This window comes from Homo sapiens, chromosome 3, assembly GCF_000001405.40.
Source record: "Homo sapiens chromosome 3, GRCh38.p14 Primary Assembly".
Taxonomy (NCBI): domain Eukaryota; kingdom Metazoa; phylum Chordata; class Mammalia; order Primates; family Hominidae; genus Homo; species Homo sapiens.
This window is the reverse complement of record NC_000003.12, coordinates 26,191,658-26,210,311: the sequence shown is the minus strand read 5'-3', so window position 1 is coordinate 26,210,311 and position 18,654 is coordinate 26,191,658. Positions and strand designations below refer to the sequence as shown.

At 37.7% G+C, this 18,654-nt stretch overlaps 1 long non-coding RNA gene across 1 annotated transcript in view; it reads right to left on the bottom strand.

Annotated features, from left to right (window-relative positions):
- Window positions 1-1,836: 1,836 nt before the first annotated feature.
- LOC105377002 (uncharacterized) overlaps window positions 1,837-18,654 on the bottom strand; it is a 64,826-nt gene continuing 48,008 nt past the window's right edge. The window contains exon 3 of the long non-coding RNA XR_940663.2: window positions 1,837-2,435. This is a non-coding gene — a long non-coding RNA (uncharacterized LOC105377002). The remainder of the gene's footprint in view (window positions 2,436-18,654) is intronic.

Below are 18,654 nucleotides of genomic sequence, written 5' to 3'. Positions count from 1 at the left end.
GTAAGCAAAACAGCATTGTACTGGTACAAAAACAGACACACAGACTAATGGAACCAGTTAGAAAACCCAAAAATAAAGCCACACACCTACAACTATCTGATCTTTGACAAAGCCAACAATAATAAGCAATGGGATGGGATTCCCTGTTCAACAAATGGTGCTGGAATAACTGGCTAGCCATATGCAGAAGGTTGAAACTGGACCCCTTCCTTACACCATATAAAAAATCAACTCAAGATGGATTAAAAACTTAAATATAAAACCTAAAACTATAACAACCCTGAAAGGAAACCTAGGAAATACCCTCCTGGACATCAGCCCAAGCAAAAACTTCATAACAGTCTCTAAAAGCAATTGAAACAAAGAAAAAATTGATTAGTGGCAGCTAATTAAACCAAAGCGCTTCTGCACAGGAAACAGACAACCTATACAGTGGGAGAAAATATTTGCAAATATTTTCTCCAACACAGGCTTAATATCAGGAGTCTATGAGGAACTTAAGCAAATCAACTAACAAACAACAACAGAAAACACACCTCATTTAAAAATGGGCTTAAAGACATGAACAGACATTTCTCAAAAGAGGACACACATATGGCCAAGAAGCATATGAAAAAGTGTTCAACATCACTAATCATTAGGGAAATGCAAATCAAGACCACAATGAGGTACAACCTCACACCAGTCAGAATGGCTATTATTAAAAAGTCAAAAAATAATAGATGTTGGCAAGCTTGTGAAGAAAAGGGAACACTCACACATGGCTGGGAATGTAAATTATTTCAGCCACTGTGAAAAGTAGTCTGGTGATTTCTCAAAAATTTAAAATACAACTACCATTCAACCCAGCAATCCTATTACTGATTATATACCTAAAGGAATATAAATCCTTCTACCACAAAGACACATACATGAGTATATTCAATACAGCACTTTTCACAATAGCAGACATAGAATACACCTAGATGCCCATCAAAGTGAACTGAATAAAGAAAATGTGATACTTTAACCCCGTAGAATGCTATGCAGATATGAAGAATGAGATCATGGCCTTTGCAGCAACGTGGATAGAGCTTCCGGCCATCATCCTCAGCAAATTAATACCGCATGTTCTCATTTATAAATGACAGCTATAAATTGAGTTCACATGGACACAAAGAAGGGAATAGATACTGGGGCCTATTTGAGGGTGGAGGGTGTGAGGAGGATGAAGATTGGAAAACTACCTATCGAGTATTATGCTGATTATCTGGGTGTCAAAATTATCTGTACACCAAACCTCCTATGACATGCAATTCACCTCTGTAACAAACCTGCACATGTACCCCTTGAACCTGAAATAAAAGTTGGAAAAAAATTAATAAATAAAAAATATAAAACAACAAAAGCCCCTATAAATGGGAATTGTTATTAAGGCAAACTTCCTTGAGAGCTTGGCACATTTGGAACAAGGTATGGTGCTTAATATCTTAGGTTTCTTGGGGTTTCTAATCTTTTCAGACTGGCCACTGGACACAACCCAAAAAATCACACTCCCAGGATGGTGGAGACTAAGAAGTATTCCTACTTGATCACAAGTCAAGCTCTTAAGGACACACAACAAAACAAGAGGGACAAACAACACAGAAGGATAGAGACCAAAAAAAAAAATACTATTTCTGGGAGGGAAAAGATCAGACTCTATGAATGTTCATAACAAAAAATATATCAGAGTCACTAAACCTAAGGCTAGTCTGTATAAATGCTTTTCTCCTATTAATCTTAAATTTGCAAAAGGAAAAACAGACACAGTGATTCTTACCATCAGCTCTACTGGATTCCACAGAGATAGACCAGGAGTCTGGCTGGCAAGAATTTCTTGTCCTTCTGCCAGCTTGTCAGGTCCTGGGTTCCCTTGACTGTGGCTTCCAGAAGAGCAGAGTGGTTTTGAGTTATCCTTGCTCATCGTGCCAAAACTGAAGGGGTGAAGATAAAACTCAGCTTTTACCCTCTAAAACTCTACTGAAACATCAACTGACGAAAGGTAGATTAGTGGCAGAAAAGACATACGAAATTGTATTTTAGCATAGCATCGAGGAATTAGAGGAGAATGATTTCCCAATAACCAAATGGTGTACAGATGTTATATACCATTATTCATTGGGGAAAGAGAGATGCATAAAATGTGACAATTTGAGGGCTAGTAAATTATTTTTAGGGGGATTCAAAGGGTTTGGAGAACACACAACAGCCTGGTACAAAGTCTATTGGGCCAGCAGAGAAAATAATTGTGAGAAAACCCTGTCCAGATGTGTTGACAGACTTTAGTCTCTCTTCCTGTGATATGAGTTAAGTTCGTGACACTCAGTGAATGCAGTTGTGTTCTTTGGCAGGTATGGTTTCTAAGTAGATAGGCAATATAAAACAGTGTCACTGGAGCTTGTTTGTCAATCCTTCTGCAAAAGAAAAGAAACATAAAATAATTTGTGTAGCAAGGAAATTTGTGCTCAGTAAGAATATGATGCTGTTGACCTAGAGAGCCTTAGTTTATGCATAAGATTTCTTTTCTCACAAAAAGCCTACAGGCAGATATTTTGAATCCCCTAATAAACCATGAGATTTGAATACCTAAAAGGACATGCAAACACCTTAATAACATTCTCCATAAATGTCTGTCTATCTCCAAGCCTTGTAAGACAGCCATTCTCTTCAGACTTATACCAGGAATTGAGAGCTGTCTGATCCCAGCAGACAATAAACAAGTCATCGGCCACTTCTTATTAGGTATTCTGTGTTGTTTACACAAGCCAAGTTCTAAGTTTTCCACCTCAACTAGATGGTTGACTTTCACTTCTCTATAAACGTTGTTTCTAAGTCCTAGAGACAACCCCACATGAGCAGGTTTTCTCATTTCCAAGGTATATACAGGACAGAAGGCATCTAAGGTAAGTCACAATAATATTATTTTTATTCTCAGCCCAAACTGATGTTGCTTTTTCTCTTGTTAAACAAAATTAATAAGAGAACCCAAGATTTTTTTCTTTTATGAATGAATAGCGTACAGATACAAAACTGCACAAATTGTAAGTACTTAGCTGGGAAACTTTTTGAAAAGTTAAACATACTTATCTAACCATCCTTTCATATCAAGACACAAAATGGTACATTTGCATTATCCCAGAAACCTCTTCCTACATTCTTCCAATTACTGCACACCCTAGGGTAGAGGTAAGGGCATAGTTTTGTCTATTTTTGAACCTTATACAAGTAAATAATTTTGTGTGTACGCTTTTGTGTCTGGCATTTTTCGAAACAAGTAACTTTAATATATGAATACCCATCTGGCGCCCTTTCCTCTTCCAGGGTACTGGCATTGGTCAAACATTTGTAAGAACCCCTAAAAAGTATTCAATAGAGCAAAGCAATTGATATACATCCTGAGAAAACCCTCTAAATCATAGCAACAGCCAATAGCATGAAATAAACAGATCCTCACTATAGAAATCACTTTTGACTTTCCATCAGACAGTGAGTTCACATCAAAACTTACCATACGCCAAACCCCAGTGGGCTGTAAATTCTGTATTAGTGCTAAGTGGTAGAAAATGCATAGTTCACACCCAGAAAACACTCAGAATGTATCTGAAGAGGTCAGTACACAAAAGAAAGAAAGCTAGCTCAAGGCATGCAGGTATGTATTTATTGTACTATACCTTGGGGTCTAGATAATTAGAGAAAGGAAGTAAAAGGTGCTACTTGAGTTACAGAAAATGATTGCTTGAATAATAGACAATAGTTGCAAAGTGAGTTTTGGAGGAAAAAGCCCAATGCATACTGGCTGACAAAGAAGGTTACACAGGAGAGATGGCATTGTGTCCTGTCCATTGCAGCCATTGCTGCAAAAGTTGCATTATTCAATGAACTAAGGTCAGAGGAGGTAGTTATGCAGGGGGCTCAAAGTCAGGCAAGCACAGGTGGGCACAAAAAGAAGTTATGGAGCCTAAAATTGGGTCCCTGTGAACAGAAAAATGGAAAGAGGTGTCAACATTTGAGAATCAGTGACAGTTTGCCTCTGAGATATTTTTTCCTTAGGGACACTTAGCACCTCCTTATGGAGTCAGTATTTGAGCCAAAGGCAGAGGTTCCATAATAATCTTATGTCTTGGTAATAACACTCAATGCCACACAAGAGTTTGCTCTACAACATCTCAGAGTTTCTTTATAATTGCCAAAGGTCAAAAAGTGAAATGATAATAAAATATCATTGATAGGGTGACAGGAACTCTTCCAGGCATTTATATGTGTTAGCTACAATCCTTACCACATGCAAAAAGGCAAATATGGGAAAAGTAGTATTCAGAGAGCTGCAATTCCTTTCTCAGGATTAAATAGACTGGATTTCAGCCCAGGTTTAAAGCCAACTAGAAGGTGGAGGGCAACCCCTTTGGATGTGTGTACTGATACTGATCACAATGGTGCAGTATAGTTAGTAATTATATGGTATTTTCTATTCTAGAAACTCTTTATTTTTTATTACTCTTAATAGCCCTATAAACTGATTTATGTACTTTTGGCCTTCACAATGGCCATACTGAGTAAGGAAAACAAATCTTAGCCATGTCACAGGGGAGGTCACCTAGTTTGTGAGAAGCCACAACTGAAGGCCATGTCTTCTGATTTCATGACCAGTATTGTTTCCATGGAATGGAAAAACACAACTTTAGCAATTCTGTGTGAATGTGGAAGATAAATTATAATATGGTCCTTGAGTCATGGGTGAAATAAAAATCCAGGATATATTCACTGATGAAATAGCACAGCCGCTCAATATGCCCTTCTTAAAAGAGATGTGGAGTTGGGGGACATAAGACTCAAAGAGTCCTAACAAAATAGTCCTCATTTTTATTTCATCAGAACCCCAGCCTTCTTCAGCAGCATGGAAGTATCTGCAGAAATGGCTTTGCCTGCATCTTTTTGAGAATAAGAGAAGCAGAGGAAGGTTAAACATGCAAATGATGCTGCAAAATTTATTACTGTAGATGCATCTAAATTCCCAGGCAACTGCTTTAGGGGACACCTGGCTACTCAGAATCAAAGAAAGTAAGCATGAAAAGAAACTGGCAGTGTCCCAGTAAACACACTAGTCTTGGGCTCCCTGCCTGAAAGAAATCAGGCAACATAGAAAGACGATTTAAAGGCTCAGTTGCTAACCTCAGCCTGAGGAACCTTGTGTTGGCTGTCCTCACCACGTCTCAAGCTAGGCATCTCATGCCACGGAGGAGCCAATAAAAGACTTCTTCGGAGGACAGTTTTGAACCGGAGAGCCTCCAACATCTCAGAGATTCATGAACACAGTTTCGAAGAACAATTAGGGTAAGTCATCATCAGAGTCAGTAAATATGTTTTCACGGATTCTCACGCACCCGCCCTTCCCAAGTGGCTTCATATACTTATGGTCTCTCTGTTGTGTTGGGTAATTTCAGGGCTCCACCCTGATCCCCTAGAATATCTTTTTTGTTATGTTTGTGCAGATCCCTCCTCCCTTTGGAGTGGGTTAGATACCAACAGCCAGCGTGTTTCTATATGACTGCCCTCAGACTACTGAAAGAAAAAGAGCCTGACCCACCTGAAAATTCACATGCCTCCTTTGGGATCCCTTAACCAGTGACCAAGAGGCATCAGACTACGAAGGCCTCACCTCCTTTGCCTGGCCTCAAAACAAGTCTGTTCATGCTCAAAATGCTGCAAAGAGTTTTATTAACCAGTTCCTTAAACTTTTTTTCCCTCATCCATGTAAACACAGGGGCTCAAACCCAGTCCAAGGAACAAGATGAAGAGAGAAAATGCCATTCTTCATGCCATACCCCTTCCCGTCTGAGAAGCTTAGCTACAATAAATTTCACCTCCACCCACCTCTCTCAGTTGCACAAGTCAAACTCCCCAGGCACATCAGCATGTGCAAAGTGATACCAGTGTATCACTTGGAGATGTAGTCTATTCCTGCAATGTCTGAGGTTGGTTAGTCAAAATGTCCCATTACAGAATGAATGTGTGGAGAGAAGTGTGACTTTGAGCTGTAATGACCATCAGTGTTTGAGTGTGCAAAAAGGATTTGCAAGCCTATTGGCACTGGAAAAAAGGGTCTGAGCAGCTAAAGATAAAAAGGAAGTATGGCGAGGCAGAAGATTAGGGTGAAAGTCAGGAAAGGCCTGTTTCTCTTCTAGTGGTGCATCCTAAATGTAGTCCCTGGTCCAACAGCATCAGCATCACTTAGAAGCTTGTTAGAAATGCACATCCTTGGGCCCTACTCCAGACCTCTTAGAGACTGGCCCAGCAATTTGTGTTTTAGCAACCCTCTGGGAATTCTGATAAACCCTCAAGTTTGAGTCACTAGTCTAAAGTTTAAAGCTTACAGAAACTACTGCCACCAAATGAGTAGCTATTACCTTTCCGTAAATACTAAGAGCAATGGAGATAAATGGTTGAGATTTGAGAAGATCTTGTTGATTTGTCTTGGTTCATGGGCTTTATTTCTGTGACTTTAAGGACTTAAAGAGAAAGGTCAAGGTCCCTGGCTATTGACATATCACTATCTTTTGCATGGCTAAGAGACATGATGGTCTCAGTCTTGGCTTTCAGGGGTATAGTGGTTGGCTGGGGTTTGCCCCTACTGTAAACACTTTGTTACACTATCTGGAAAAGTCTCCCCAGAATAAAACATTTCCTCTTTGGAAGAGAGGCTTCTTGTTTTTTAACCCACCTCTCAGAAATTGTCAAGAGACAGAATCAGGGTAATGAAGGAAATAACAGGAGGAGACACATAGTTGTGGGTGTGGGCCAGACTCCACTCTGGTGGAGAATCTTTGTCAACTTCAGAGACAAAAGTGAGACAGGAGCCATCAGCAAGAACTTCATTCAACAAGAACACCTGCACTATAATCTCCCTGGTAGGGTCCTGCATGAAGCACACCAGATTCAAACAGTAGGAACCAAATTATGGAGAAGCATTATGCCCCTACCAATCAAGCATGGGAAATATTAAACAGGAGGTAAAATAAAACTTAAGTAAAGAAGATAAATAGAAAAGTGGAGAATCAAGAGTGTTGCTCTCCTAGAAGAAGTGCCATGAGACCTCAGGTACATGAGCAACCTCTCTGGACTTGTCTTTCCCCTTTTAAAAAATAAACAAGTCAACTAGATGGCCACCAATGCCAATTCCAGCTCTAAAATTTTTTGTAAATCTCTCACCACAGCCTGAATCTTTCCCCACATAGCTGTATTGAGCTCCTGTGGTTTTAATCACTCCTTGCTAATTTCTGGGTACATTTTTCCTACCGACTTTTCCAGGATAAAACTTTTGTGGATTAAAAAATATTTCAAAGTCTCTACCTTTGAACTGGGTATGCAACTGATGCCTATAAACCAGGCAAACCAGGGTAAGCATATGTGAGAGCAATGCATTTCAGTAATGGAGGGAGGAAAAGAAATAGAGTGTAATAAATATTAAGACAAAATAGAGTTTAACAAATATAAAAAAAACTCGCTCATTTATCTTAATATGTATTGTACTCTGTATTTTTCCATACCTGGCTCTCCTCTATTTATTAAACTCTCATCTCATACTTCTTATTATTTTTCAGTTGCATGAATAAATCCTCACAAGAACCATAAAAAGTAGGTATCACAATGATCTCCATTTTACAGTAAGAAAATTGAGGTTTAGGGACATTAATTAACAGTCCCAAAATGACCTGCTGATAAGTGGCAGAAGTAAACTGAAACCAGGAGTAGCTGAATCCAGAGCCAGGTGCTTAATTGTTAGTTCAAATGAAACTGAGTTTTAGGAAGTTTCTAAAGGGTTTACTCATTTGTTAAAGCAACCCTTGTAGGCTGTTGTTCCTTCAAGCAGAGGAGTAGCTTTTGACATTGAATCCCAACAGTCCTTTGAAGAGCATTCCTTGTACCCAGTAGGGGCTGAAGCGGGCAGAAACAAAGCCAGGGCCTCCTGTGTCTCCGTATTCATTATCAGAGCCTGACTGCCAGTCCAGGTTCTGTTCTGAACAAGCTATGACACTGGAAAAGTCACTTGACGTCTCTAGGCCTTAGTCTATCTGGAATTCAGGGAAGATTCTCTCCCCAGCTGACAAAAAGGCTGACTTTTATCACATCACTTGAATCTTAGGAAAATCTGTTGTTTTGCAACCCAGCCCCTTTAGATCTGTGAACAAACTCCACGTAAAGACAGATAAGTAATCAGGTCTTAGCAGTTCTTGCCTAAAATTTGTGTTCTCCTACAATTAAGGCTCCTCTTTACCTTAAGTTTCTGCATGTATGTGCCACATATTTGTTAGTGAGCTTTTTCGTTTTTGCTTTTGTTTCTTTTGCTTCACTGCCCAATAGTTAGAATAGTAAGAGACACATTTGACTGGTTATTCTGAAAATCAAAACCTCTTGTTTTAAGGTACAACAGTCACCTTATCCCATACTTCAGTATAGAACCTCATCTTACATTTTTGCCCCAAGTCTTATAAATTTACAACTTTTTCTTCTTCTTGCTGAAGCCTTCAATAGAAAGGACCAAAGGTCTCTGAAGAAGCTTCCTTTTCCCCCACCATTTTCTTCTCCACCTTTCCAGAAACAAATAGTTCAGAACAGAGGAAATAATTGTTTATTCCCTCTATACTTCAGATCATCTAGCACTCTCTGGCTGCTGGCATTTCCAATCTTTTTCATTGCTTTTAATTTCTTTTTTACAGTTGCAGATTGTAGGGGTGGCAGAGAGGCAAATCAGAGTTATTCTTGAGTTCGAACTTCAGCAAGAGAATTACAGTGTTGGAGTGGCCACTAGGAGTAAAGTTCCTCTTCCTATTTTTTCCTAACAAATTACAAAAGTAAATCCAGAATACATAAAATTACATTCCTGCTGGGCATTTGTAATGAATCTACCACTTTACATTCTCCCACTATACCTGTTTCAGTCTAATTTAGTCATCAAGTCATTTCCAGAATAATAACCCTTCAGAAGAGTAATCACCTTACCCACCCAACTAAATGAATCTACTTCAGTGGAAATGTTGACTCTAAATCATGGTCTTAGGAATCATGGAGTTAGAAAGAAATTTCAGAAGTATTCTAGGTCATCTTCATATCTAGGTTGAACCAAGTTCAAAATAAAGAAAATGATATATTAAAGCAGTCAGAGAGTTGGTCTCTTTTGGTAATGCACTGCTTACTTCAATAGACTAATCCAGGAAAACAATTCACTTACATTTTTTAGAGGGAAAGAATAAAAACAAATGGTTTCAACTATTTGATTTTTAAAATATAATTTAAACCCTAAAGAGAGCTTTGTACCTTGACCCAGTAAGGATCTTTTAAAGAACCACAAATACATTGAAAAGAAACTGCTGAAATACAGTATGGACATCTCTAAAATAAGTGAATAAGTGTACTGTTGGCATGAATAGGCAGTGGCATTTAGAGCAAATAATTCATGCTGCCAGGAATATACTAAAATAACTCTGCACATTAACAAAGAAAATTTCAAAATTAACTTATATATTGTTATTCAGGAATCTTATTTGCAAGCATCACATTCTGGCTGATTCAATCAAAATGAATGAACTGAAATTATATCAGCTGCTTGCACAGTTGAGTTGCTCAGAAGGTTGAAAAATAGGCAGGACAAAGGAGACTAGACAACAACTTGATCAGGGCTAGTGTTATCCAATAGGGACTCTTCTGTAGATGTCCTGAAAATTAGGCCCAACTGTTAGCAAAAGCATTCAATAATAGTCCCAGACCCCAGATGTCACTGTTGTAACCCCTGCTCCTCGTCTTCCCAGAAATATATATATCCTCCATTGCTGTTGCCATCATAATAAAAGGAAATGAGTTATTCATTGTTCCTACTTCTTTGCATTTCTGGCTTCCAATTTATCCACCTAGATGAATCTACTGCTTGGTCAGCTTTAGATCAAGTGCCTACAAGGAAGGTTGTAAAAGCAACTAGCTTGTCTTTTGTATTTCCATGACATAAAAGAGGATTTGCCTCCCACCAAGACACATAGGGTAGGGATAACAGTCAAGATAGGGAAAGTTATGCTGTAATAATAAAGAGCCCCCCAAATTTAGGGCTTAACACAGAATGTTTTTGCTTGTTTTTTATTTTGTTTTGTTTTTCCAGTCATACTACCTATCTGTAACAAGTTAGCTGGTTAGCTGGGGGATTTGCTTCATGTCATTCTCTCCTTCTCACTCTAGGTCATAAAGTGAGAGAATAGCCTCTATGTGGAATGTCACAGGTTATTATGGCAAAGGAAGACAGTGGGGAAACATGTACTGGCATTTAAAGCTTCTCACTGGAACTGATGCATGTATTTTCTGCTTATACCTTAATGGTCAAAGCAAGCTACATGGCCACATCTAAGTTTATGGGGAAGGGGAAGGGTAGAGAACTATAATCCTATGATGTGCTTAGGAGAAAAAAAAATATTTGGTGGAAAGCACTAACAAACAGCATATTGGTGAGTTCTCAAATATATGAAAAGAATTCAGATACGAGGCAACTGAACAAGTTAATGTTCAGTTATATTACATATTACATATAAACCTATTACATATTAATGATAGTTAGCATTTGTTGAGTGGTTTCCATGTTCCAGGCACTATTGCTATTGATTTCCTTATGAACCTTATCTCACTGAATTGACTCTATGGCCTGGTTTTTACTATTATCCTTATTTATTGTGGAGGAAATTGAGGATTGAAGAGATTATGTGACTTGCACAAGGTCACATACTAGGGAATGGAAGAGGTGCAATTTCAATTCATAATTTTTGAGAACTATGAACTAAAGACAAAAGAAAATCAAAATTTTTCCTGAATGAACAATAGCTACTGCAAGTTTTAGCAAAAGGACAGCTGAAGGGTCATATGGGTGGTAGTGTTTATTTTCTGTTTCCTGCCTCTGTTCTTGCTATCCTTTAAGTTCCCCTGCCTTTTCTTATTGCTTCTTGCTCTCATTAATGCATGTGTCTAACCCAAGTTTTCTTCATGGAGGATTTGACCAGGAATTGTGTAGAGAAAGATGCTGAGATCAAGAGCCACAAGACCTGGGTTCCTGTATCAAGCTCTGAACTATAATAAATTCCCAACCACTCTGAGTCTCAGTCTTCTCAAATATAGAATGGTAATAATAACCACAAATTACAGAATCGAGGTATAAACAAAATAAATTATCAGAAAGTACTTTGAAGCAACCTAACTTTTATAAATGGAAAATATTTTTGGTGGTAAGATGATCAGATAGAGTATCTGCTATGATACAAAACTTCTGAACAATTAAAAAAAAACTTTAAAATCCAAAAAGATGAACAGCTGAAGAAATTCCTTGTCAATAGGGAGACATTTGAAGGATTATCATTTTCAAATTTCTTCTGCAATAACACCAGGTAGATAAGCATTCAATTGCCGGGCTAATCTTACTCTCCCAATGACCCCTAGTAAGTGAGAGCTTACTGAGTCATCTCTTTGGCACTCTTCTTTCTAAATAAGTCTAATTCCTTAAGCCTCTCTTTATAAGACTCTGATGCATTTGAGGAAACAGTGACACCACAAATCATTTTATATCATATTCATTTAGTTGATAATAAATAATAATCACATGTGCCTTTCAAACAATATAACGTAAAATTCTTAAAATTATTCTGTTAATTTGGGGGATGTCATCATGAAGTTAAGATTTCTAAATTCTCTTATTTTTATTGGAGTTAGGTAGATGGGAGAGGTCAGCGTGGAATAAAAGTGGAAGCACAGCTAAATATGGGGGAAAATGACTGCTGATAGTTGTTTGGATAAAATGTCAGTGCCAACTAAAAGTGTCCATTAAAACATCTTTCATTACAATTTGCCGTGTGATCGTTGCGGCCCAAAGTGTCCTGGTCATTCCTTTCGGTGGATTACAGTAGACGAATTGCTTACAAGCACTCACACCCACAACATGTCTAAATTAATAATATAATGCTGTTTTGTGCAAAGCCTGCTTTGTGCAGAGCAAACCCAGTGGTAGCAGATGGACATTTTCTGGTGCTAAGAGAGCTGTGTATTTAGCATAAAATAGGAATTCTGTTGCTTGAGAAACAGTGCACTTTATGCTTTTAAAAAAAAAAAAAAAGCTTTCATCCTCTGCCACATGTCCAAAATTTATCTTTGTTAGCATAATTAATAAATTTAAAAAAGGAAAGAGACCAACAGGGGAGAAGTCTATCATTTTCAATTATTGTTGGGTAAATTACTCGCTTTTGTTACTTTGGCAGAAATATTTTTTAAAGCAGCATGAGTTTCCTGGGACACTGAATATCTTTTGGTACCATGTTACAACTTTAACAGATTTTACTTATGAAGGAGCTAAAATTGCTCTATCTTGCAAATAAAATGTAAGTGATTATTTAATCCAAATATTAGGTTACATTCTATTTCTCTGCCACATGGTCCTAAATTGTTATAACTGATCCCTTTGTTGTTTCAATCAGCAATTCTGATCTTCAAAAAGGAAAATTTAATTTGTTTGGCAGAACTTTGGGACCTAGTTTAGCCTCCAATGTTTATAAATAACTCCTGTCAACTTGTGAATCATGAACCGTAGGCATTGTTTGCTTCTCCTTATTGATGAAGTAACTTATGAAGAAGGGTAATATTTTGGGAATATCACATAAATATCTCGACATCACATAAATATCTTCAGAGGATGTCATGAAATTCAGTATAAGTGTCCCCATGTATATGCAGGGTTGCAAAAATACAACCCAGTTTTTCAAGTAAGTATCAGTAGCAACCTGAAAATGTTCAAGATGATAGTTATTCCAAAGAATATCTGTTTTCTATGAACCTGGATCACCATGGTTGTGCTTCTTAGTTTGTAAACATCTACTCTTCAGCCCGCCTTCTTTGGCATTCTTAGTATATGCTTATTTGGGGAAAAAGAGATCAGAAGAAGGTACCCTCTTGTACCTTTCTCTGCTGTCCTTTCCTCTTGGTGTCACTTTCCCTTCTGTGTTCTCTCTATAGCTTCTTTCTGTAACCAATCAAACTTTTAAATGAGGACATTGCATTTTTTACTTTTTGTATTTACACTTCTGGCTCTTAGTTTGGAAAATGAAGACTGATTTATATTTTTCCTTTAAAAAAAAAGAAAAGAAAAAGCAGTCACTTACACAATTTTAAAGTATTTCTTTCCCTGAGGCCCTTAATCCAAAAGAGAAAATAAAAAAGCACCTCCCCTGCTGAATGGCTCTTTAGGAGGGAATGCAATCAGCCACATTTAGTGACTTAAGGGAGAAAAAGATCACCAGTCATCTTGCACCCCTTGCTGGGAGAATCTGGGAAATGAGGGACATTTAGACATATTTGGTTAATTAAAAAGTTAGAGTCTGTATTTTACTGAATCTTTAAAACTACTTATTTTTCTTTTCTACATTTTGAATATGCTCTTGCCCTGAATATTCATAGTTCAATGCTTTAGAAAAAGCAATAATATAAAATTTCCTTTAAACATCTCCAACTGTAAACCTACTGTAATTTTCTCTTATAAGACTGTACAAATGTGTTCAGGTTTTATAGGGCTTACTATTATTAGAGAAGGCAATGTAGGTCAACTTCTTATGGAAATGATATGTGTTTCACATTACAAATGACTTAATTATCAAATTGACTCCAACAATTTTTTCCATTCCCATGAGTTTTTAAGATAAGAAAGTAAGAAAGCCAAGAAAAAGCATTTTATAATTAGTATCTGATTAATAATGTATTGGGTCATCCTACCAGGACTGAAAAAACTTCTGAAGCTTTCCCTACTTTCTTTTATGGGAGATAATATGTTGTCTTTATGTCTAAGCCAGTTTAAATATGAGTGTCTGTTACTTATAGCTAATGGCATTCTGCTACATAATATACTATTATAAATTATAAGCAACAGAATCTAACTCTAGATCACTTAGCCAAAAGGAAATGTATTAGACAGGTATCTGAGGAATTAAAGGACTGGTTGGAGTTTTGAAGATCAGGCTTGAAAACTACCAGAAACCTAGGACATTATAAAGGGTCATAAGAGTGCTGCTACTTATAATATCAATTAAATGACCCCCTCCTCATTCTTGGGTCTTTTGTTCAAGATTCAATATGCAGTTGGCCATGCTTATATCACATGTGTACCACTGAGGTGTGCAGAGAGCAGAAAGGAATAGAAAAATCTGGTTCCATTTATTTCCATGCTAGGAAATGAGCAGCCTCATTCCAAAATAATGTAAGCCAGATAAACTCCCAAAGGAATTGGAATATTAAGATAAATTGGGATGGATTCTGGGTAAATTAAAATTATAAATAATCTAGCAAAATAACACATGGGCTTTGAAGTTACACAGACACCACTCACTAAGTATACGACCTTGAACAAATTATTTTTTCTCTCCAAATTTTGATTTTTAAATCTGTAAAATGATAATAATCATGATGATGAAAAACACTTCTGGTTTCTAGAATTCTTCCAAAGACCAAGTACACTAATGTATACAAAAATATTTAGCAAGAAAACCACCACAAAGTAGCTGTGGGTCATCAGCCTCACCATCATCAACATCCTCCTCAGTATTTCCAAAAGAGAAGGGAGGTAGCTGCCAAAATAATCTCTTCCCTAATTATAAGACTGCTTTGAGAATTCATGACTTCAATAGTAATGTCCTGGGGGATGATGCTCTGGGCAAAACAAAGCAAAACAAAACAAATTTAAAAAATAGTCAGGAACACTCTAAAAGCCTCAATCCAAGTATTGGGTTAAGAAAGAGAAACCCCACTGTGTTTTGAAGTCAAGAATCCAACAATCTCTTGGTGTCTGCCTAACCAAGTGAAGGAGATTCTGCATGTTGTCTCTCAGGAAAGATTAAGGCCCTACTAATGAGACTAGACAACTCCTTATCTTGTAGCTCAGATATAATAATCATCTCACTGACTCCCACTCCTGAAGAGTGGCTCCTGATTCCTTGACATGAGATCTGGGGATCTCAGCCTGTGAGGAATCCACTTGCAGAGCAGCAGCCTCCTTCTCCCACTGAAGGGCCCTGGGAAGAACTCCTGGGCTTTCACTGTAACTGGAACTAAAGACTGCTCAGGATCAGGGGACAATGGGAACAATGCCTTCCACCAACCAGAAACAAGTGCATCGGTAGCTGAGTATGTTAGTCTGTTCTTGCATTGCTGTAATTTATTTAAAAAAAAAAAAAAAGAGAGAGAGAGAGTGAGAGAGATTTAATTGGTTCCTGGTTCTGCAGGCTGTACAGGAAGCATGAGGCTGGCATCTGCTCAGCTTCTGGGGAGGCCTCGGGAAACTTACAGTCATGCAGTGAAGCAAAGAGGGAGCAGGCTCATCCGTGGCCAGAGCAGGAACAAGATGGGGTGGGGTGCCACACACATTTACATGACCGGATCTCATGAGAACTCACTCACTATTGCAAGGACAGCTCCAACGGGATGGTGCTAAATCATTCATGAAAACCCTCCCTCCAAGATCCAATCACCTCCCTTCAGACCCCACCTCCAACATTGGGGAATTACATTTCAACACAACATTTGAGCAGAGACATAAATCCCAACTATATCAACACGGATGGTGGTCACTTGTAGGTCCAGCTACTGGGTAGACTAAAGTGGGAAGATCACTTGAGCCCAAGAGTTTGACACTGTATGATTATGCTGCTACACTCCAGCCTGGGTGACAGAGCGAGACACTGTCTCTAAAAAAAACTAAGAAAGAGAGAAACACCTGCATTGAGCTGTGATGTTTAAGTCACTACACACTTTAGGGTTCTTACCACTGCCTACTCTACCCAAACCAATGCATGAGCACTACATATGCATTTGTTGAATAAATGAACATGTTTTCTCCAAGTTTGTTTTTTCTATGCATGATTCTTGTATTTTTTGTGAGGGCATTTTAATTCCAGGTGTTACAAAGGTGGTGTGCTCATACCATACTGACAATACTTTACATCTATATTCTTGTGAACAGAATGTAATGACTATAAAACCTGCTGAGCGGATGTTCCATAATTTGCTTAACCATTTGTTTATTGGTAGAAATTTACATTGTTGCTAATCTTTCACCCTTTTGAGCTAATCCTGAGTAAGGAATAACATTTAATTGATGGTACACTGGAATGTTCTATATTATCTAATAATATTTGGGTGAACATACTTTTGTTAATATACAGCCATGTTTTGCCACATGTTTCTGAAAATGGTTAACATAATCTTTTCCCAAGTGGTGAAATAAAAGTAGGTTTCATTAAAGACTAAAAATAGTTACACTAAGGCTTATTTACCCTATATATTTTCTCTCCTCTCTTCTGAAGGCTGCAGCAGCAGCATTCATCTCTGCTAAGGCTGTCTAGGTTCATTACGTTTAAGGCCAGGGATTGTTTTTTATTGTTTTCAAAAGACAGACAGCAGCTGGCTCCTGGTCTAGGCTCCAGCAATAACCAAATCATCAGTCTTAAAGGATTGTTCCTGACATTAACTGATTTAATAGCAGAGATTATCTTTTATTATCTCAAATTGAAAACGAATTAACCAAAACGGTATCATGATGATTGATTTTTTTTTAAAACTACCACAGCAAAAAACTATTAGCTGAGTCCTGGGGTGCATGTGGTAGAAGAAACATGTTACATTATGGCAAGTAGATGATAAACTAAGTAAAGTCTCTTCCATAACATTTTGGAGATGTGTTTCCTCTGCCCTTGATACTTAAATTTGGATATTTGCTGAACAAAAGAGAAAACAGCTAAAAGAATTATATAGAACTTTGAATTTCAGATCACTCACACTGATGGACATTGAGATAATCTTCTGAGCTTTGTTGTGAAGACACACCTATAATTTCTCATGATTCAGTAAAATTGAAAAATCCAAGTGAGATTAGAAAACATATTCCAAAAGGGAAGGAGGAAGATGGTTTTGAGAGGGCTGGCTTTATATTCTCAAGTTTCTAGCTAATTTGGATGGAAGAAAAATGTCCATTCTGTTTTTATTCCTTTAGAAAGAAAAGAAAGAAGACCCAAAACCATGCTGTAAAAAAAGCAAAGTTTGTATCCAAGTTTTAAGGCCTTTAAATTTTCACTTTCGCTCATTTGCTAGAAATTTTCTTAGCAGCTTTGCAACTATGACTAGTGTGTTTTCAGCATATCAGAAAGTGGTCTCAGTACCATAAACAGTTTGTTTGCTTGATGTCTCCTCTGCTTTTTCTCCTCCACCGTAAGCTTCAACAGGTGGAAAAACAAAAACAGTTCTCCCTGCTGATTCAGAAGCTGGGGAGACAGCATCTGTCAAATTACAATTTCTGTATGAATAGCTGCATCAGTCCAGGTCACACTCCATGTAATGCTGTCAGATACACAAGCATACACATCAAGAAACTCATAAACTGAACTTTGCTGCATATAAAGAATTTGTCCCAGTGTACAAATCATGAGAGTACTCGACCATCAAGCAAAAATGTATCTACAGACCTTGCCACAGACATATTATGCTGTTGAGCCTTCTTTATAGGCTTGCCAAATGGACCCTGAAATATTACCATAAGAACTATCAATCTCCTTATCAAAATAAATGAGGTTAAACATTTTGTGATATTGCATCCATTTGTTTTTTACATTTTACCTAATATGCAGCATTTGGGAATTCACAATGTTACAACAGGCTCACTTCATAATTGTGGAGAATGCAGTAGATTGGTGGAAACACTTTCTGACCCTTTGAAAAAGGCACTAAGATACCTGAACATTTTATTTCTAACTAGTAAAGCAGATTAAGGACATAGTCTCTATTTTTGTTGATGAAAATCAAAGAACGGGACATCCAGGTACGATCTTTTTTTGTTTTTTCTGAAATATTTCTTCCAAGCTGAGAGGTCACCAATGTGACTCTCAAAATTTCTTTTAATTTTTACTTAAAACTAATACAAATTAATTAAACCAAAGCAAGTGGTAGATTTATTTTCTCATTTCTCTACATGCCATTCTCAATCTTCCTTTTACTTGTTTAACCTATCATCTGAAGAAAAAATGTTTAAGTTGTATGAGAAGCAGTACCTAGTTTACGGAGAAATTGAAACAAGAAGAGAGTTAATTAAAAATCAGTCATCTGGGAAGGTCTCTGCAAGGTGGTATCTTATGAGCTGATGTCTACATAAAAGGGAGCCAGCCATGTGTCTGGAATATTCAGCAGCCAGTTCAGAGGCCAGGAGCTTGGACTGTTTGAGGTAGAGAAAAAAGATTTCTGTGTCTGGAACATGTCAAGGAAGGCAAGAGCCCCGGAGAGTTGGAAAGCAGTCTGTGGACAGCAGGACATGGTCAGGAGCTCAGCCTTTATTCTAAGTACAATTGGCAACTCATTTGGAGCATTTCAAGCAGGAAAGTGACATGATTTTACACTTAAAAAATCACTTCTGCATAGAGAATTGACTGTGGAGAGACAAGAACAGTACTTGGGAAACCAGTGAGAATGCTGTGGTTGAGGCGAGAGTTACTGGTGGCTTGTACTACTGTGGTAGCTGTGGAAATGAAGAGAAGTGAATGAATTCAGATATGCTTTGAAGGTAGAGCTAAAAGAAGCTGCTTAGGATTG